This window comes from Homo sapiens, chromosome 2 (genome assembly GCF_000001405.40).
Source record: "Homo sapiens chromosome 2, GRCh38.p14 Primary Assembly".
NCBI lineage: Eukaryota > Metazoa > Chordata > Mammalia > Primates > Hominidae > Homo > Homo sapiens.
Genome location: NC_000002.12, coordinates 55272489 through 55293837, shown reverse-complemented (window position 1 = coordinate 55293837; position 21349 = coordinate 55272489). Strand labels below are relative to the sequence as shown.

The following is a 21349-nucleotide window of genomic DNA, read 5'->3' as shown; positions in this document are numbered from 1 at the left end:
GCTAAATTTGAATCTCTAACTCCCAGATTGCTAAAAACAAAAAAACCCATAACCCTGATCCATTTACTTCCAGAGAAATACACATTGGCATTCTCTCTGGAATGTTTTTTGCCATTTGGATTTAGCCTATAGCTGATAAGGACTCAGCCTGGCACCTGGAAGGAATGCCTTCAAATGTGACCATGTGGGGATGAAATTATGTTATACTTGTTGTTGTTGTTGTTGTATTAAGTGGTTATTAACTGGACCAAAGAAAAAATCTGTAGAGAATATTTCCTAATGAAATTTGTCTCCTTTGTAATCACACTTTTTTTCCGATAGCTATTACAAAAAAAAAAAAAAATGGTTCTGGTACAGGTAATCAAATGAACACAATCAGAGGATTGTCATATTTTAGTACCACCTAATATACTTTTTGCATCCTTCTATTTTATTGTCAGTTACTTCCCAGTCAGTCCTGACATTTCAAATATATTTGGTGCTAATATTTTCCCTTTTGTTTTTTCATAGGCCAGTAACAAAACTTAATAGTAAACATAGCTGAGATTAAATGGGGGCAGTATATGACACAAATGTTATAATTAGTGTTATTTCTTTTCCACACTGAGTCAAAGATTATTTCACAGCTATTTCAACTTTTTAGATATCATAATTCTGACCATAACACTTCAAAATATTGTATTTATTCATTCAAAATTCATTGAAAAATCACATGCTATTATATTAAAATTATGTGATTATTTTACAAAATTAGACTTACAGAAAAGAACTATTTCCTACCCAAAAAGCTATATGTTTATATGCAGCATGTTTCCAAAAAAAAAAAAAATACACTGTGCATATAAGAGAAATATGTATCATGTCCATGTGTCCTGAGGACTGTTGGAAAATACAGTCTGGACTTCAGAAATCATCACCTGCTGTGGAGTCATAAAATTCCCCCCAAAACACCACTAGTTCTTTTTGTTTGTTTGTTTGAGATGGAATCTCACTCTGTAGCCTAGGCTGGAGTACAGTGGCGTGATATCATCTCACTGAAACCTCTGCCTCCTGGATTCAGGCAATTCTCCTGCCTCAGCCTCCCAAGCAGCTGGGATTACAGGAGCATGCCACCACGCCCAGCAAATTTTTGTATTTTTAGTAGAGACGGTGTTTCACCATGTTGGCCAAGCTAGTCTCCAACTCCTGACCAGCTTCCCAAAGTGCTGGGATTACAGGCGTGAGCCACTGCGACTGGCCACAACACTAGTTCTTATCAACGTTTTTTCATAGCATTTGGAATCAAATTTTTAGTGGTGAAAATACCTTAGAAATCATATGGAACCGATGTGTCCCAAACATTTAAGAAAAAAAACAATACTTTCTGTAAGTGAAATCTTACATAGATGCCCCAAATTTTAAAAAATGAATTTCATTTAAAGTAAAAGTGAAACAACTCTGACTCAATTGAGCAATTGCACTTATTTCCTCTAAGACACCTCCAGTTTTCAAAAGGATTATTTGTAAAACTATTCGAAGATTCAGTACCCTAATTTTATAAATGATGAAGCTGGATAGCTTTCAGTATTCCTGGCCTAGCTTTCTAGAAATTATAAACATATTCTTATGCACTGCATCCCCTTTGACCAAAGCAATTTTAGCTTTAACCAATGTAAGGAGGAACATTATTTGCCTATAAAATATGCATCAAGCCCTGGTTTTCTTAGTAAATAATACAAATACTTCATTCCAGATGGTTTTGCTACTACATGCAAGATTATGTTTAAGACTGTAGGTGACCATTTAGTAAATAAACATAGTAAGGCTATCTGGCACTAAGAGGGGGGGAAATGTAATTGTTATAGTTTTTTTAAAAATTATAGCTTTCCTAGGAATATTACTTATAGCTTTAAAATATAAAAATCGATCTTTAAGTATTGAGATGCCTATGAGATTAATAATTTTCCCAGACAGTTACAGATTCCTTCTCCTTGCCCTACTCAGTGAGAGTGTATTTCTTATCTTCTGAATTGTATTTTGTTTCATCTTTGACTAAATAACATGAAATGCTTTTCTCCTGCAGATGTGGACAAAGTACAAGAAAGCAGAAATTCAAAAAGCAGGTCTAGGGAGCAACAAAGCTCCTAATTCTATTACCCACTACATGACATGTGGGCCAAGTGGTGAGTTTCCTGCTTAAAATGTAAATGAGATTAGTCTCATTTATACAAACTAACCAAATTAAGTGTGAAACAAGTGCACATTGCATTAACAGATGTAAATATTGCTTGCTTAATTCATTGACTTTCTGTTCTACTTACTAGTGAAGCAAGATTAGTTGGCTGCCATAGGTTTTTACCTGTCAGCGCAAGGAACAAGTATTTTTTTTTAAGTTTTTTTGTCACTTTAAATTTAATTTTACTAGTGAATTATGTTCTAGGAATTACTTTTTTAGTTTGAAGCCTTTTGTGGTAGGAATACAACTTCCCCACAGTTTTCTTGAAAATTAATGACTAAATGCCTATTCTATGATGAGCCACTCAAAAATTATCTCTGATTGTCTGTCATTCTCATTCTTATAGAAATACCTGGTGCATGCTGTTCTTATAGTGGCTGCTCTGTATTTTGTGTCTCTCTTATCTTTAAGCTTTTCTTATATTTTCTTTCTTCTTTCTACCTTCCAACTAAATACAGAGAGAAAAGTGTCCTTCAGTTTCTCAGTATGAAGCCTTTATTTCTGAAGTAACAAGACACCTAGCAACTATAGGAATCATTTTTAAAAATCTTTAAGGAGACTTTTAACAGTCCTTCGTGAATAGAGCAGGCAAGAAATACAAACCTTCATTCCTTGAATCAAGGAGCACTACTGGATTCAACTGCCAAAATTTTTTAAAGGTTTTAGGACTTACTATACCTTGTACTGTTAAGATCTACTGAATAAAGGACGTTCTCTCACTAAGGACCAGGTGTTTTAAGGTTAAGTGTTTAAAGAAGTACTCCAAGAACAATCTGCTTTTTTCATCATTTGTTTTATGAATTTATCCATGTTTGCTTAATGCTTCTGCTAAGTGTTAGCCAAAATCTAGCCATTTATATTTAGTTGTGTAAACCTAAATTAAATGCTGTAGTATTTTGTGGAATGTACTATATAGCAAGATACAGAGAAAATTGTTTTGGCATGTCAGAGCCTTATTTGGTTAGCAGACTGCATGTGTTGATACTTTTTTTTTCTTAAAGCCAATTATTTTGATGCAAAAGAAATTCAGTTTATAAGATAAATCTGAAAAATCCATAATGAAATAGGAGTTATAAAAAATTTATAGTGATATTAATCTTTCCATATTTCCCATTAAGCAACACTAAGCATTCATAAGTTAACCCATGGTAAAGAGTGTTTTTCTGAAACTTTTTTTTAGTAAGATGGTTTTTCAGCAAATGGCATTCCCAAGATAAAGCTGTTGTGCTTTAACTCATTTCTTTTCTTTGGTATTGGGTTATGTATGCGTGTGCATTTTTTTAACTTGAGAGCTGACTGTTGCTTAAGAAGTTTTCTTATGGCAAAAATAATGTAAATAAGTTACTATGATCTGCATTTTGCCAGAAACTCATTTATAATTAAGGCTATCATTTATTAATGATTTTTTTCTCCTTTATGATATTACATTAAAGTTGATAACTGTTATTGGTACTTTTGAAATATTTGTATGCATTTGTTACCTTTAAACATTTGGAAGAAGCACAAAAAAATAGATTTAGTTAACCCAGGGAAACATCAATTTTTTTAGTAGTTCCAATTTTATATCACAGTTTTATTTTCTTATGAAATCAAAAAATGCATTGATACTCATTAATGCAAATTCATTATTTAACATCAATATCAGAGTAATCTTCAAGGTCTGAAATGAGAAACATACTGACTTTTTAAAATTTTAACAGTGTACTTCTTAGGCTTTCATTACCAGCTCTGAAGAACTTTTTGGAATAATTCCATATTCCATAGTGTGTGGTTTATGAGTTGTGGGTTTCATCACTAACCCAGTAACCATAAGAAAAGTCTCTCTCTCTCTCTCTCTCTCTCTCTCTTTCTCTCTCCCTCTTTCTCTCTCTCTTTCGTAGGCCAGTAGCAATGTTGTGTTCACAGTCTAATTTCCAAAAGACCATCAATAAAAAAGAGAGCATGTTTAAATTGAAATGGAACTTAGAGAACTTGAGCTTACTTACGTACTTCAATGCCACCGGTAACTTAGGTTTTACCACCAAATGCTGTTAACGTTAAATCATTTTGAAAATCTTGGATGAAAGGTGCTATGTAAATGGAAATACAAAGGATTCTTACTAACATACAAAAATAATGCACAACAGAAATATCTAAAACCTTTTCCGTAGACTTTGAAACATCTCTCTCTCTCATAACTCCCTGGATTCAAGTAGCACATTGGTAATAGGTATCAGAGCAGTCTAGAGACAATTGCATGTCAAAAAATGTACATTCATTTTTAGGTGGATAAAAGTAAACATAGAAATTATGTTATGGCTAAATACAGTTAGTGGGTAACTTAGATTTATATTAGCTAGCATCTAATTTGCACAACTAGAACACATCCCAGAACAATTACTGAAAAGCTGAAATTTAATGGGTGGTGATGTAGCCCAATGAGGGCGAATGACATTACAGCTTGACCTCTCCAGAACACTAATATCCTAAAATACAGAACATGCTGGGTTAAGTGCATTAGTGCTTCAAGCAGAAAATGCTGAAAACAACGTGTAAAGTACTGAATCTGAGTAGGCTGACCCTGAGAAGGGACAATTAAAGAGACAACCAAGGGAACACATTGAGACTACAAAAATATGAATAATCTCAATTATATTCATCACACTTTTTTCATACCATTTCAAGAAACGACTAGACAGTAGTAACCACATGAATATTTTACTTTCTCCAGTATACCTTGAGAAGCAAACTTTGTAGGAAGCCACTCTTCTCCCCTAAACAACTTCTGCCAAACAATAATAAAGCCAACTGGAAACGAATCGGAGCCATTTTCATTTTCCTAACCGGGGCCTGACATGCTTTAAATTATCTGGCTGTATTCTAAATCAACACCTAACCCCTCAAGGAAACTGAAGAATCAATATACAGGGTAATAGCTTTGGCTCAGAGCTCCAATAATGTGCTTCAGATCTGTCCATGTGGAAATGCTTTCATCCAAATTTTTAAATTGGTGGTTACCAAAGAGTTCACAAAACAGGTTTGTATGTAGCACCTTTCATGCAAGGCATGCAAAAAGCCTATTTTAAAATCACTGTGCATATTATAGAGTTGTAGCCACCTCACAATGAAGTACTACAGCCTGTGCTGTCTTAATGGTTTATGTCAGGAAATGAAAAAGATACTGTACCAAATCTGGAATTACAATGGGGAGTAATAATGTATACTAAATGACTTTTGTATTTTAAGTTACTTTTTGTGAGTGGTGAATTTTTGTGTTTTTCTTTTCAGCTACACTTAGTCCTGAGATGTATTTTTTCTTTAAGTCTTGAATGAATACAAAAGGAGCCCATTTTATAATATAAACCTTGATGTACATGTTGAGATATTTGGACAATGAAAATGCCTTAAAAGGAATGCATATGGATAAAGTTGCACTTATAACACCCTTCAACAAAATCTAATTTTAAATTGTCTTTTTCTTTTCTATTAAGGGTTTTCTTTTTCAGTGTCTACCATTGTACTTATAACTGTTATTAAATACCAAATCAAATAATATAAAAGCTGTAACATTTCCTTTAAAACTAATGCTAATAAGGGATTTAGAGTTGAATGGCAAAATGTTTATTACTTGGCAATACCTGATGTCAGTCACAGGCATCCAACTCATGACAAGAGATACCACTGTTTGTTTTTTAAAAAACATTTTTCATTTTGTTTCTCCTTCAAAAATTAAGTTGGACTAACATTCACGTATCAAACTAATATAAAAAGAAATAAAACCAAGAGGTGATTTTTGTAACAACTGGTTAGTAATCATTTAAAAATGATATCATTTTAGCCAAGTGTTATTTTATTTCTTTCCATTTTCCCTAGAGAACTATCGTCAGACATAACCCATGACCTTGTTTAGTTGATTCTGTCATATCATTTTGTGATAAGTATTAGGGGTTTGGAGAGAAAGAGCATCTGTCAATTTTATCAGTCCCAAAATAGGTTTAAATGTAATCTAATAGATTGCACAAATGAATCTCCCATTTTCACTTAGACTTTGGGAGACAAAGGAACTGGCCTCATCCTTGGGCTGGTCAGTTTTTCTGGGCCTGTTTTCACTATAAGGTGGGGAGGGCAATTAGACCAGATACCTAAGGTACTTAATTTCTGTGTATTCATTAGTACCTTCATTTCATATGCAAAGCAACCTAAAACGGCTACTTTGTGTTAGAGATAGAATACCGAGTATGTAAAAACTAAGAGGAACCTTAGAATAAAGTCATTACTTTTATTTTGCCTTTTAGTAACACAACTTGGTACAAACTAAGTACAATATTTCTACCAGATGGAAACTACTTTTTGAATGATCAAACTTAGGAAAATGTGGTTCTTAAAGAATATCCCATTTCAGAAAAAAACAAAAACAGAAACAAAAGACAGTCCCATTTGGTTGTACTAGAAGGAAATACTAGAATTTTCATGACCACAAGAAGAGGAATAGCCTACATCAGATCCTCACTCCACTAATGAAGGATTTTGTTTACATTTAAGTGAAGTTTAAAAAATGTCAACTTTTCTGTTTTTGAACTAGCTTTTATATAACAGATGACTCCAGATTTTCCTGCAATTTTATATTGTCTCAGATGCCAGAACTGAAAGGGGATGAGTAGGCCGGGCATGGTGGCTCACGCCTGTAACCCCAGCACTTTGGGAGGCCGAGGCAGGCGGTTCACGCGTTCAAGAGATCGAGACTATCGTGGCCAACATGGTGAAACCCTGTCTCTACTAAAAATACAAAAATTAGCTGGGTGTGGTGGTGCATGCCTGTAGTCCCAGCTACTCAGGAGGCTGAGGCAGGAGAATCGCTTGAACCCGGGAGGCGGAGGTTGCAGTGAGCTAAGATCGTGCCATTGCACTCCAGCCTGGCAACACAGCGAGACTCTGACTCAAAAAAAAAAAAAAAAACAACTGAAAGGGGATGAGTAAAACTTCAGTATAGCCTGGAGGACAGAAGAAACTTGGACGAGTATGTTCACATTTCTTTCTGAAAGTATGTTCACATTTCTTTCAGTTCTCCTGTCTTAGCCTCCCAAGTAGCTGGGATCACAGGGATGCGCCACCACGCCTGGCTAATTGTATGTTCACATTTCTAATCTCTGAACAAAGACTAAACAAATCCTTTTTTGGGGGGTGGGGGACAGGGTCTCACCCTGTCACCCTGGCTGGAGTGTACTGGCAGGATTACTGCTCACTGCAGCCTGGACTTCCTAGTAATCCTCCCACTTCAGCCTCCCAAGTAGCCGGGACTACAGGTGCATGCCATCGTGCACAGCTATTATGTGTTTTGTAGAGACATCGTTTCACCATGTTGCCCAAACCAGTCTCCTGGGCTCAAGCAATCTGCCCCTACCCTTGGCCTCCCAAAGTGCTAGGATTACAGGCATAAGCCACCACACCTGGCCTCAAATCCTTTTTAATAACATAATGTATATTCCATTACTACACTTTTTAATGTAATATTTTGTTAAGATTAGTCAAGTGTAGTAGTGGAAAGGGAGGAAAGAGTGGAACAAGGAGTTCCATCTGTAACTGACTGAACAATCAGTTGAGATAACTCACTACCATCAGGCCAGCCTATAAATATAACTTTTCTCTCTTTTTTTTTTCTTTTAAAGAAAAAAAGAAAAAGATTCTCACTCTGTCACCCAGGCTGGAGTGCAGTGGCGCATTCTTGGCTCACTGCACCCTCTGCCTCCTGGGTTCAAGTGATTCTCCTGCCTCAGCCTCCCGAGTAGCTGGGACTACAGGCACACACCACCATGCCCAGCTAATTTTTGTATTTTTAGTAGAGACGGGGTTTCGCCATGTTAGTCAGGCTGGTCTCGAACTCCTGACCTCAGGTGATCCACCCACCTCGGCCTCCCAAAGTGCTAGTATTAACAGGCGTGAACCACTGTACCTGGCCTGTAAATTTAATAGTACAATGATTATGACATAACATATTCCCCCCTAGCTGTTTTTCTGGATTAAAATTTTGTAAAGATACATTTTCATAGAAAGTTAATTAGCTTATTTTTCACTGGGAAAAAAAAAAATCACTGGTTTATAAACAAACCCCAATAATGGAAAGTGTTTACCTTTGCCTCAATGTTTGTTTTAATTATCTTGCTAGGGAGTTCTTATTCTTTAATCCCCATTTCCCAAAAATAGCCACTATCAACACTTTTTTTTTTTAAAGACAAAGTCTCACTCTGTCACCCAGGCTGCAGTGCAGTGCTGTGATCATAGCTCACTGTAGCCTTGAATTCCTGGACTCAAGTGATCCAGCCTCCCAATATACTAAGACTACACGTGTGAACCACCATACTTGGCTTACTTTTCAATTTTTTGTAGAAAGGGGGTTCTCTCACTTTGTTGCCCAGCCGGGTCTGAAACTCCTGGCCTCAACTGATCCTACTGCCTCAGCCTCCAAAAGCAGAGATTACAGGTGAGAGCCACTGCACCTGGCCTCAACAATACATTCCTATATTCCTTTTGATTTTTTCCTTGTATTATGTACACTATCATAATTTTATACATACTGTTTTGCAACTTGCTTTTTTCAAGTACAATAAGCACCCTAAAGATGTAAGCTGGTTAATCTTTGAAGTATTTTTAATTGTTGGAGGCATTCCTATAATAAGTAGTTGTCATGGGAGATGGAAAACTGAATCTCTGAGCTGACTAAAAGTACCTCCATACATCTTTTTAAAAAGAGCTATTTTATAGGGCCAGTCACAGTGGCTCACGGCTGTAATCCCAGCACTTTGGGAGGCCGAGGTGGGTGGATACCTGAGGTCAGGAGTTTGAAACCAGCCTGGCCAACATGGTGAAACCCCATCTCTACTAAAATTACAAAGTTAGCTGGGAGTGGTGGTGTGTGCCTGTAATCCCAACTACTTCAGAGGCTGGGGCAGGAGAATCGCTTGAACCCAGGAGGCGGAGGTTGCAGGAAGCCACGGTCACACCACTGCACTCCAGCCTGGGCGACAAAAGCAAAACTCCGTCTCAAAAAAAAACAGCTCTTTCAAGATGAAATACTATATTCCTCCTAAAGTGGTTTAGATAGTCACCAAACTAAGGATACCAAATATTCTTACACTTTCAATGCTTTTTATAAATTACAAATAAGAAAAACAGCTTTCAGAAAGAAATTTATTCTAAACATTGGCCCAATTAGTTGTTTTTATCAAAATTTAGTATTATGGGATCATGTCCTGTCATCTTCACAAATGTGAGAAAGTCTTCAGGGCTCAATCCCATGGTTGCAGCATTGGTCATTGGATGAAAGTACACCTTTTCATGTCCACCTTCGAGAAAAGCAGAATCCAGAACAAACTTCACATCTCCACCATCACAGAAAAGTGCCAAGGGTGTGGCACAGCCTTGACCAACTTTTAGTTTTTCTAGCATGGCTGTTTCATCAGCAAATCGCAGATTTCCACTCCCAACACCTAACTGCTTGGCAAGCTCATTTAAATTAATTTGTCTATCATGAAGAACTGTCACCAGCCAATAATTCTTTTTCTTTTTGTCTTTAAGAAATAAGTTCTTACTATGTGCTCCTTTCAGATGTTGAATATGAGGCATCATTTCTTCAACTGTAAATAGCTATAAGATATCAGTAAGTTTTAAAGTAATATGCATGTTTACATATGCACACGTTTATACCTATTTTGCCTGCTGGGTGAAAACAGCAAGGTTTGGGAGTGCCTATCGCCCTGAATTTCACTGTTAAAGACCCATCTTCACCCCTTTACCAAATAATTACTTATAAGCCCATGCCATCTCATTTCCTCATCTCAGGACCTCAGGCAGTTTCTTCGGCCAGTTTTGTATTCCAATGTACTTGCCAAGATCTCACTCCTCAGCAGCTTTTTATTTCTAAATTTAAGCTTTTGGTTACTGAAAGTTTACAGCAGTTCTAGACTCCTATTCTTTAGCATTCCGTTACGTCCAGACCATGTGACAACCTCCATTCTACAAATATGTAACCACAAAGAACGTGAGTGGGGAGGCAATAAGAACCCAGACTAACAGAACATCAGAAAAGCTGGCATACGCACACATAAAGAAGGGGGAGAATATAGGACTATATGGGAGGGAGGAAGGTCACAGAAAAGGATTACGGTTTTGATGTTGTATTTGTGAAGGTGAGGAATACTAACTATATTTCTCTACTCTTTGAAGATCACCATATTTAGCCATTATCTATCAACTGTTAAGCCTTGGGTAAACTTCATGTCCTTGCACCACTCAAGTTACACATTGGCTCTGTGAAATATTTGCAAGTGGTCTGGCGCGGTGGGTCACGCCTGTAATCCTAGCACTTTGGGAAGCCCAGGTGGGAGAATCACCTGAGGTCAGGAGTTCGAGACCAGCCAGGGCAACATGGCGAAATCCCGTCTCTACTAAAAATGCAAAAATTAGCCAGGCGTGGTGGCGGGCGCTTGTAGTCCCAGATATTCGTAGTCCCAGATATTCGGGAGGCTAAGGCAGGAGAATCGCTTGAACCCAGGAGGCAGAGGTTGCATTGAGCCGAGATCGCACCACTGCACTCCAGCCTGGGCCACAGAGACTCTGTCTCAAATAAATAAATAAATAAAATAAATGCAAGTAAGACTTTCTATCAAAACACAACAAATGTTACAATTTATGAAAATACAGGCATGTCAATTTTGGTAAGCACTTTACGGGTGGTGGTGGTTTCTGCCATGCTGCATACTTTGTGATCAACCCTGACCACAGTAGAAAAATATCACTGTGAACCTCAGTGTCCTGCTCTATGTATGGTGCCTGATACGTCGTACCTACTGAACACACTATTAACCACTTGCTTATTTTATCTACACAAAAAGTGGACAAACTGACCCAGCATCCCAGACCGATTTAAGATGCACAGTCCTCCGTATGTTGTGCTGGTTCTCAACACGGAATGTAAGCAGATCACTCCCAAGAGTAAAGATTTCCGTGCAGTAACCTCATGGTCCCAAGATGGAAGTCCTCTGCTGTCCCTGCAGGGTCACTTTCGTATTTTGAGACCGGGGAAATATTCCAGGAGCGACGTTCTCACGGTACATTGACCCTGGGACACCTGATCTCAGCGGCCTCGCCCGACGGACGTGCAGCACAGCCCACCCCGCTGGGCCTGTCTCGGCGGTCGCTTCTAGGGGCCTCACCTCGGGGTGCTCCACGACCTCAGTGTGGATGGCCAGGGCACCGAGCCGCTGCTCGAGCGCCGCTCCCAACTCCGCGCCCGCCGTGGAGCCGCTATCGTGGCGATGGGCGGAAAAACGGCACGGCTTCCCGCGGCTGCGCAGACCGAAGCCTGAGGCGGAACTGCCCAGAGGGATCTCGGCCGACGCCGGCAGCGTAGTGCTGGTGCCTGGTGAAGGCGGGTCCGCCCTGTCTGAGCGCCTCGCCCGCTAGTCCCTGAACATCGTCCGCTGAGGGCTCCGGCTTGCGAAGGCCTGCGGGAGCTCTCAACAGGCGCCTCGCTGCGGGGCGGCGCCTGCGATCTCACAGCCCTCCCTGATCCCACTTCAAGTTTCCCAGATCACCATATCTTCTGTTGACGGTTTGGGAGTTTTTTGTTTTTCGAGACGCAGCCTTGCTCTGTCACCCAGGCTGGAGTGCAGTGGCGCGATCGCGGCCCAATGCAACCTCCGCCTCCTGGGATCTAGTGATTCCCCCGCCTCAGCCTCCCGAGTAGCTGGGATTACTGGCACCAGCAACCACAGCCGTCTAATTTTTGTACTTTTTGTAGAGACAGGGTCTCGCCTTGTTGCCCAGGCTGGTCTCGAACTCCTGGATTCAAGCGATCCTCCAGCCTCCCAAAGTGTTGGGGTTACAGGACTGAACCACCGCTTCCCGCCGCTTTTATTGTTTAAACCGCAGATAGGCAGGCGGTGCCCGGTGGCTCACGTCTGTAATCCCAACAGTTTGGGAGGCTGAGGCAGGAGGATCGCTCAGAGTCCACAGTTTGAGACCAGCCTGGGCAACATAATGAGACCGTGTCTCTAAAAATAAATAAATAATCAATAGTCAATCAAACCCACATAGTAACTCCCAGATTAGGGAGTGTGGAAGGGGCCCAGATCCATACTGTTCTAAGGCTTTTCAACTTCTTTTGTTGTAAATTATAATTTTACATTTTACCTTTTCTGACAGTTCTTATTATTGATCTAAGAATAATTGACTGTGCCAACTATGACTCACCTTTTCCCAAGGTAGTTTGACTACCTCCAGGTGGTTTTAAGCTATCTTGGTGTTTCCAGCTGTAAAAAGTAAAGTAGCTATTCCTCTTCAAAGACTTTCCTCCCCGTCTAATTAGGAATAAATAGTAACTTCTCTTAGAAGCAAAATTTATTCAAAGACCCTTGCAAACATTCTTAAATATCTGCTAGCCATAATAAACAAATCAGTGTACTTTATGTTCTTAGCTCCCACAATTTAGCCTAAATATTTGCCCTGGCATGCTTATACTGGTCCAAGCAAGCATTAGGTCATAGCGTATTCCTCTTCCTTATTTAAAAGTGTTCTTACCTTTCTCAGCATTCCATAAGTTACTTCCTTTGTTCTCCTCTATCTTTGCCTCTTTTAAAAAGTTCTAAGTTGCTAGCCAATCAAGACAAATACAGAATGTGAGGTCCCATTCCAGCCAATGGAAACCGGACACAGCAGTACGGAGGACGTGTCAGGTTATAAATGACCCTGTCTCCTTTGTTGGGTGTACTCTCCTGGCAAAACTGCTGGCAAGTGTACCCTTTCTGCAGGAAGTAAAAATGGCCTTACTAAATAAATTAATGTTCAAGTGCTATTTCTTTACAGCACCGGGGAACAAGCATTTCAAACACAGCTATCCTGGGAAACACTCCCCACTTGAATGAGGCCTGGAATTCCACCTTAGAAGTTCATTTATGAATTTAGATTAAGGCTCGAATCCCAGATAACACATAGATATACCTAAGGATATTTAACCTTAGTGTGAATGGGTCATTTCTGGGGTGCAAACTGAACGGCTGGAGAAGGAAGCCTCTTAAGACACAGTAAAATGTCATAGTCCTTACCTGCAGCCCTGGAGGAAGCTACAAAAGAGGAGGAATTCAAAGTCAACCTCACAGTTTCACCCAGAATTGGCCTTGGATAGCACAATTTCAAAATGTCTCAGTTTAACCTACCTCTTTAATGATTAAATCATGGTTTCCCTTCAAAAACTCCATCTAATTATTTGATCTCTGATTACAGGATCAACAGGCCACACTTCCCATGGCCTGCTAAATTCAGATCAACAACAAAAGCAATGTATCACATTACAGAGGATTTAGAAAACAGGAAAGTGGGGAAAGATCACTCAGAATCTCATGGTGCTCATGCAATTGAAGGGGTGGGTTGCCCCTCCACACCTGTGGGTGTTTCTCATTAGGTTGAACGAGAGACTTGGAAAAGAAAAAGACACAAAGTATAGAGAAACAAATAAGGGGGCCCAGGGCACCAGCGTTCAGCATACGGAGGATCCCGCTGACCTCCGAGTTCTCTTAGTATTTATTGATCATTCTTGGGTGTTTCTCGGAGAGGGGGATGTGTCAGGGTCATAAGATAATAGTGGAGAGAAGGTCAGCAGATAAACACATGAACAAAGGTCTCTGCATCATAGACAAGGTAAAGAATTAAGTGCTGTGCTTTAGATATGCATACACATAAACATCTCAATGCCTTACAGAGCAGTATTGTTGCCCGCATGTCCCACCTCCAGCCCTAAGGCGGTTTTCCCCTATCTCAGTAGATGGAATATACAATCGGGTTTTATACGGAGACATTCCATTGCCCAGGGACGGGCAGGAGACACATGCCTTCCTCTTGTCTCAACTGCAAAGAGGCATTCCTTCCTCTTAAACTAATCCTCCTCAGCACAGACCCTTTATTGGTGTCGGGCTGGGGGACGGTCAGGTCTTTCCCTTCCCACGAGGCCATATTTCAGACTATCACATGGGGAGAAATCTTGGACAATACCTGGCTTTCCTAGGCAGAGGTCCCTGCAGCCTTCCGCCTTCCGTAGTGTTCCTGTCCCTGGGTACTTGAGATTAGGGAGTGGTGATGACTCTTAATGAGCATGCTGCCTTCAAGCATCTGTTTAACAAAGCGCATCTTGCACAGCCCTTATTTAACCCTGAGTTGACACAGCACATGTTTCAGAGAGCACGGGGTTGGGGGTAGGGTTATAGATGAACAGCATCTCAAGGCAGAAGAATTTTTCTTAGTACAGAACAAAATGGAGTCTCCCATGTCTAGTTCTTTCTACACAGACACAGTAACAATCTGATCTCTCTTTCTTTTCCCCACAGCAATGTTATTGCCATTTTGGTGTATCTTTCCAGTCTTGTTTCCTTTATTCTTGTTATTTTGGCTATACATAATGAATTTTTCAGATAGTTGAAACTTCCTACATATTAAATTTTGTGTCCTGCCTTTTTATTACTTATAAGCATTTTCCTCTGTTGCCACAGTGTCTTTCTTTAATAAAGATATATTGTGTTGCTGGGTCATATTAGCCATTATGTTTTGTTTTTGTTTTTGTTTTCAGACAGGGTAGCTCTATCACCCAGGCTACAGTACAGTGGCGTGATCTCTGCCTCCCAGATTCAAGCGATTCTCCTGCCTCAGCCTCGTGAGTAGCTGGGATTACAGGTGCACACCACCATGCCGGGCTAATTTTTGTATTTTTAGTAGAGATGGGGTTTCACCATGTTGGCCAGGCTGGTCTTGAACTCCTTACCTCAAGTGATCCGCCCACCTCGGCCTCCCAAAACGCCCAGAGCCACCGTGCCCTGCTGATATTAGCCATTACTTTGAATGGCAAAAACCGCGATTACTTTTGCACCAATCTAATAATTTTCTTAACCATCTCCATATTGGTGGACATCCTTGTTGTTAGTGAATCATAACATTCTAAGTTGCTTTCCAAAAATTATTATAATGTATAATTAGCAATGTATGAATTAATCTATTTTACTATATTTTTGCCCAAATTTACAGTATATATTTTTTAATTTGCAAATTTATTGGACAAATTTAATGTACCTCATTTAATGTGCATTTCCCTGATTATGAAGGCCCTGGACACTTTTCCATGTTTATTATTTTATTTCCCCATTTGTGAATTAGCTTGTTCATCATCTCTTGGCTCATTTAGCCACTGAATGAATATCAGTGGTTTTTACCTTCCTATACAAGCTCTTCATATAATGAAATTATGAGCTTTTTGTCATATATCCTTCAGTTGGTTTTAGTTCCGTTTTATGTACAAAAGTTACCCAATTTTACATAACTAAATGTCATTCTTTTTATTCTGATCTAAATTTAGAAAGTTAACCTCTAACAATAGAATATTCAGTCTTTTCTTTTTCTTAACAATATTCAATTCCTTATTTAAAATTTACTTTGGTTTTTAAGGTGTGGTAGGCTCAGTTTTTTCAGTATGTTTCCTTCTAAGAATGAAATTAGAACAGCAGCAGAGATCACCCTCTGAAGAAATAGCAGGCCGGGCATGGTGGCTCATGCCTGCAATCCCAACACTTTGGGAGGCCAAGGAGGGCGAATCACCTGAGGTCAGGAGTTCGAGACCAGCCTGGCCAACATGGTGAAATCCTGCCTCCATTAAAAATACAAAAATTAGCCGGGCGTGGTGGTGCATGCCCGTAGTCCCAGTCAAAAAATAAAAAGGAAAGAAAGAAAAAAAAAAAGAAATGAAAAAGGGAGGGTGGGAAGGAAAGAAGGAAGGAAGGAAGAAAGGAAAAAGTGAAACTTGTCTCAAAAAAAAAAAAGGTAATAACCAGTTAACTGGTTATATGGAATGTAATTTCTTTCTAATTAAACCGTAAAATGGATGAACACATTGCTTGCTTGCCTGGGAAAACACTGGTTTCATGCAATGTGAACAAAATCTACATAGTAGACGACAACTGGGTTAAGCAGAGAAGGAGCATGTTTTTTTCTTTTTTGTTCACTTTAAAACACCCATTTAAAATTGTGTGGTTATAAGGAAGCTTTACTTTGGACAAGCACTGTTTACAGAAGACACAGCCGAGCCCAGGCTGTGTTGTAAACTCCCAATGTGTAACTCCTGAGAGCCACAATTACTGCAATTCAGGAAGCGTGCAGAAGAAGGTCAGGTGAACAAGACCTGCCCTGAGTTGTTCTTTAAATCAGACTTAATTTTCTGGGTCTACCTAGACCACTAAATTAATGAATACAGCCACATATTCAGGGGTTTTTGCTTGTTTGTTTTTCCTTTTTTGTTTTTTTTTTTTGAGACGGAGTCTTGTCACCCAGGCCGGAGTGCCGTGGCACAATCTCAGCTCACTGCAACCTCCACCTCCCTGGTTCAAGCAATTCTCCTGCCTCAGCCTCCCAAGTAGCTGGAATTACAGGTGCCCGCCACCACGCCTGGCTAATTTTTGTATTTAGTAGAGATGGGGTTTCACCATGTTAGTCAGACTGGTCTCAAACTCCTGACCTCAGGTGATCCACCCGCCTTGGCCTCCCAAAGTGCTGGGATTACAGGCGTGAGCCACCACACCTGGCCATATATTCAATATTATTACATGGTCTGCAGGTGGTTCTCATAGCAACCCAAGAAAACTGACTTCCATACAAAAGTGCTGTAACAGAGGTACTTTTCCTACTTTGCATGTATGGACTACGGATATTTTAAGTCATGCATTTCAGTGATTGCTTCAACTGGATTAGGTTTGTGGGAACTACTTTGGAATTTCTGTCCTAGTCTTACTGGCCAAGAGAAGTTTCCTATGATTTTAATGCCTTAATTAACTTGCAAGTAATATATATTTGCATAAATTTTAATAAAAATATTAAGTTGAGATCAGAAATCACATATTATTCCTCTATCCCTGCTGGATGGATTTACTTATTGATGGTAAATACTGATTTGAGTAAATGTCAATAAATATATTTTGGAATGTGTTGGCTTTAAGAACAAAAAGGGCCAGTTCAATTAAAAACAAACTCATATTCAGTATTTTTCCCAAACATAAAATAGTGTCTTTTCTAACAAGTTGCATGCATTTTTTTTTTTTTTTTTGAGATGCAGTCTCTCTCTGTCACTCAGGCTATAGTGCAGTGATGCAATCTCGGCTCGCTGCAACCTCTGCTGCCCAGGTTCAAGCAATTCTCCTGCCTCAGCCTCCTGAGTAGCTGGGATTACAGGCACCTGCCATTGCGCCTGGCTAATTTTTGTATTTTTAGTAGAGATGGGGTTTCACCGTGTTAGCCAGGATGGTCTTGATCTCCTGACCTCGTGATCCGCCCGCCTCGGCCTCCCAAAGTGCTGAGATTACAGGCGTGAGCCACCAAGCCCAGCCCCCTATTTCTTTAAATAAATGTTTTAATACTACGCTTTAAAAATAAAGACAAGTTAACAACATATATATAGATTGTTAAAAAAAATTAGACCACATATGAAGATACAAAAATTTAAATCACAGGTATATAAAAATATTCACATTGGACACATAATGTATATACTCTAATGCTGTTTATTTCTAAAAGATTGTTTTGTTTTGTTTGTTTTGGGACAAGGTCTTGCTCTGTGTTGCCCAGGGTGGAGTGCAGTGGCATGATCACAGCTTACTGCAGCCTTGACCTCCTGGGCTCAAGCAATTCTCCCACCTCAGCCTTCCAAGTATATGAGACTCCAGGCACACACCACTGCACTCAGCTAATTTTGTATATTTTTAGTTTTTGTAGAGATGGGGGTCTCCCTATGTTGCTCAGGCTGGTAATGCTATTTATTTCTAATTTTTCTGATCAAGACAGAATTATATATTTTATAATCTGCTTTTCTGTTTTCATCTAAGTATCCATGTCAACAGATCTACTTTATTACTTATAATGGCTGTATAATATTCCATTTACGTATCCAACTCCAAATTTGGAAATATCCAATGTCCAATGACCTAATGTTAGTTATTTCCAAATTTTCAATATAATTACAAATAAGGCTATAAGTGTATTTCTCTCTCTAGGTGAATATATATATATGTGTGTATATATATACATATATGTACATATATATACATATATATACATATATACATATATATACACATATATATGTATATATATATATACATATATATGTATATATATATACATATATATACATATATACATACACACACACACATATATACACATATATGCATAATTGTTTCATGTATTCCTTAGAATAAATACCAATAATCTGCAAAGTTACACAGTTCACACCTTTTTTTGGTTGTTTTGTGAGACAGGGTCTCCCTCTGTCATTCAGGCTGGATTGCAGTGGCGTGATCTTGGCTCACTGCAACCTCAGCCTCCCAGGCAATCCTCTCACCTCAGCCTCCCAAGTAGCTAGGACTACAGGTACATGCCACCACACCCAGCTAATTTTTGTATTTTTAGTAGAGACAGGGTTTCACCATTTTGGCCAGGCTAGTCTTGAACTCCTGGCCTCAAGTGATCCTTCCACCTTGGCCTCCCAAAGTATCTGGGATTACAGGCATGAGCCACTGCAGCTGGCCAATTTCCATTATATATTGTTGAAAAGGCAAAAGGCAGCATGTATTGTATAAATCCCATTTATATAAAATTGTATGCATATGTATATTTATTATTATTATTATTATTATTTGAGACAAAGTCTTGCCCTACTGCCCAGGCTGGAGGGCAGTGGCACAACCTCTGCTCGCTGCAACCTCTGCCTCCCAGGTTCAAGCAATTCTCCTGCCTCAGCCTTCTGAGTAGCTGGGATTATAGGCAGCCGCCATCACGCCTGGCTAATTTTTGTATTTTTAGTAGAGACGGGGGTTTCACCATTTTGGCCAGGCTGGTCTTGAACTCCTGACCTCAGGTGATCCACCTGCCTTAGTCTTCCAAAGTGCTGGGATTACAGGCTTGAGCCACCAATATACATTGTATCTGTATGTATATTTATGCGTGTTTTAGGATATCTTTCTTTCTTTCTTTCCTTCCTTCCTTCCTTCCTTCCTTCCTTCCTTCCTTCCTTCCTTCCCTCCCTCTCTCCATCTCTCCCTCCCTCCTTCCTTCCTTCCTTCCCTCCCTCTCTCCATCTTTTTTTCCTTCCTTCCTCCCTCCCTGCATTCCTTCCTTCCTTTTAGAGTCAGGGTCTCACTCTGTCACTCAGGCTGGAGTGCAGTGGCATGATCATAGCTCATTGTAAGCCCGAAATCCTGAGTTCAAGTGATCCTCCCACCTTGGCCTCCAGAGTAGCATAGGACTGCAGGTGTACACCACCATGCCCAGTTAATTTTTTTATTTTTTGTAGAGAAGGGTCTTGCCATGTTGTCCAGGTCTCAAACTCCTGGCCTCAAGTGATCCTTTGGCCTCAGCCTTCCAAAGTGCTGGTATTACAGGTGTGAGCTACTGTGCCTGGCCCTTTCTTTCTTTTTTAAGTCAACTTTTTTTGTTTGTTTGTTTGAGACGGAGTTTCACTCTTGTTGCCCAGGCTGGAGTGCAGTGGCACGATCTCAGCTCACCGAAACATCCACCTCCCAGGTTCAAGCAATTCTCCTGCCTCAGCCTCCCGAGTAGCTGGGATTACAGGCGTGCACCACAATGCCCGGCTAATTCTGTATTTTTAGTAGAGATGGGGTTTCTCCATGTTGGTTAGGTTGGTCTTGAACTCCTGACCTCAGGTGATCCACCCACCTCGGCCTTCCAAAGTGTTGGGATTACAGGCGTGAGCCACCGCACCCAGCAATCAACCTTTTAATTTTGGAATAATTTTAGATTACAGAAAAGTTGCTGAGATAGTGGAGCGTTCCCAAGTGCCCTTTACCCAATTTTGTTAACATCTTACATTAATCATGATACACTTGTGAAAATTAAAAAATTAACATTGGGGTATTACTGTTAACTAAACTACAGACATTATTCAGATTTCACCAGTTTTCCCACTAATGTGCTTTTCTGTTAAAGGATTCTATCCAGGATACCATATTGCACTGAGTTGTTATGTCTCCTTAGTCTCTTCTGATCTGTAACAGTTTCTGAGTCCTTTCTTGCTTTTCCTAACCTTGACAGTTTTGAAGAGTACTGGTCAGGTATTTCGTAGAAGGCTCTTTAATTGGGTTTCTCTGATGTTTTCCCCATGATTAAAGTAGGGTTGTGGGTTTTTGAAAAGGATATTACAGGGGTAAAGTGTCCTCATCACATCATTTCAGGGGGTGTCTATGATATTAAAACGACATTGCAGGTGATGTTCACTTTGATCACTTGGTTCATGCATTGTCTGCCACGTTTCTCCACTGTAAAGTTACTATTTTCCCTTTTCCATACTGTGTTCTTTTGTTTTTTTTTTCTGAGACGGAGTCTTGCTTTGTTGCCCAGGCTGCAGTGCAGCGGCACTTGGCTCACCACAACTTCCGCCTCCCAGGTTCAAACGATTCTCCTGCCTCAGCCTCCTGAGTAGCTGGGCTTACAGGCGCGTGCCACCATGCCCGGCTAATTTTTAGTAGAGACGGGGTTTCGCCATGTTGGTCAGGCTGGTCTGGAACTCCTGACCCCGTGATCCATCTGCCTTGGTCTACCAAAGTGCTGGGATTAACAGGCGTGAGCCACCGTGCCCGGCCTCCATATTGTATTCTTTGGAAGCAAGTTAGTAAGTCCCGCCCACACTAAGGTGGAGAGGAATTAATCTTCACTTCCTAGTGAAGGTTTTATATATATATATATATATATATATATATATATATATATATATATATATATATAAAATTTGGAATTCTTCTGTAAGGAAGATTTGTTCCTTCTCTATGTATTTATTCAATTATTTATTTATATCAGTATGAACATATGTATACTTAGTTGATACTTTTGGTTATAATCCGGTACTATGTTATTTTGCTGCTCAAATATTTCCAGCTTTGGCCATTGGGAGCTCTTTCAGGTTGGCTTCTCTGTTCCTTTAACTGTTTTCATTCTCTTCTTTTTTCTTTTTTTTTTTGCTACTTTCTATATTTTGGTATATTGCTTGAATTTTCTACATTAGCATGATTAGAAAATCTTAATGATTAGAAAATTAGAGGAACATAGATGCATATATGG

The 21349-nt window shown here is 39.7% G+C and overlaps 1 protein-coding gene and 1 pseudogene across 5 annotated transcripts in view, besides 8 other annotated features; one reads left to right on the top strand and one right to left on the bottom strand.

Moving 5' to 3' along the window:
- Window positions 1-5996, top strand: part of CCDC88A (coiled-coil domain containing 88A) — a 132015-nt gene extending 126019 nt beyond the window's left edge. For all 4 annotated transcript variants that reach the window (NM_001254943.2, NM_001135597.2, NM_018084.5 and 1 more), the window contains 2 exons: window positions 2063-2162; window positions 2674-5996. In NM_001254943.2, the coding sequence (NP_001241872.1) occupies window positions 2063-2127 (65 nt within the window). In that variant the 3' untranslated portion in view covers window positions 2128-2162; window positions 2674-5996. The remainder of the gene's footprint in view (window positions 1-2062; window positions 2163-2673) is intronic.
- Window positions 3601-4101: an enhancer, noted in NCBI's record as "H3K27ac hESC enhancer chr2:55516873-55517373 (GRCh37/hg19 assembly coordinates)". NCBI's record gives its function as "activates a minimal SCP1, AML or CMV promoter by ChIP-STARR-seq in primed H9 embryonic stem cells {active_cell/tissue: H9 hESC(primed)}" and the evidence as "EXISTENCE:reporter gene assay evidence [ECO:0000049][PMID:30033119]".
- Window positions 4102-4602: an enhancer, noted in NCBI's record as "H3K27ac hESC enhancer chr2:55516372-55516872 (GRCh37/hg19 assembly coordinates)". NCBI's record gives its function as "activates a minimal SCP1, AML or CMV promoter by ChIP-STARR-seq in primed H9 embryonic stem cells {active_cell/tissue: H9 hESC(primed)}" and the evidence as "EXISTENCE:reporter gene assay evidence [ECO:0000049][PMID:30033119]".
- PRORSD1P (prolyl-tRNA synthetase associated domain containing 1, pseudogene) lies at window positions 9366-11519 on the bottom strand (annotated as a pseudogene). The gene has a single exon (NR_027258.1). The product of NR_027258.1 is annotated as a prolyl-tRNA synthetase associated domain containing 1, pseudogene (transcript).
- Window positions 10702-11593: an enhancer, noted in NCBI's record as "H3K27ac-H3K4me1 hESC enhancer chr2:55509381-55510272 (GRCh37/hg19 assembly coordinates)". NCBI's record gives its function as "activates a minimal SCP1, AML or CMV promoter by ChIP-STARR-seq in naive H9 embryonic stem cells {active_cell/tissue: H9 hESC(naive)}" and the evidence as "EXISTENCE:reporter gene assay evidence [ECO:0000049][PMID:30033119]".
- Window positions 11594-12487: an enhancer, noted in NCBI's record as "H3K27ac-H3K4me1 hESC enhancer chr2:55508487-55509380 (GRCh37/hg19 assembly coordinates)". NCBI's record gives its function as "activates a minimal SCP1, AML or CMV promoter by ChIP-STARR-seq in naive H9 embryonic stem cells {active_cell/tissue: H9 hESC(naive)}" and the evidence as "EXISTENCE:reporter gene assay evidence [ECO:0000049][PMID:30033119]".
- Window positions 13516-14516: an enhancer, noted in NCBI's record as "OCT4-NANOG-H3K27ac hESC enhancer chr2:55506458-55507458 (GRCh37/hg19 assembly coordinates)". NCBI's record gives its function as "activates a minimal SCP1, AML or CMV promoter by ChIP-STARR-seq in naive and primed H9 embryonic stem cells {active_cell/tissue: H9 hESC(naive and primed)}" and the evidence as "EXISTENCE:reporter gene assay evidence [ECO:0000049][PMID:30033119]".
- Window positions 13516-14525: a biological region, named in NCBI's record as "Sharpr-MPRA regulatory regions 8685 and 822".
- Window positions 13951-14245: a silencer, noted in NCBI's record as "tiled region #822; K562 Repressive non-DNase unmatched - State 5:Enh". NCBI's record gives its function as "represses a minimal TATA promoter and a strong SV40 promoter by Sharpr-MPRA in K562 cells {active_cell/tissue: K562}" and the evidence as "EXISTENCE:reporter gene assay evidence [ECO:0000049][PMID:27701403]".
- Window positions 14231-14525: a silencer, noted in NCBI's record as "tiled region #8685; HepG2 Repressive non-DNase unmatched - State 2:TssF". NCBI's record gives its function as "represses a minimal TATA promoter and a strong SV40 promoter by Sharpr-MPRA in HepG2 cells {active_cell/tissue: HepG2}" and the evidence as "EXISTENCE:reporter gene assay evidence [ECO:0000049][PMID:27701403]".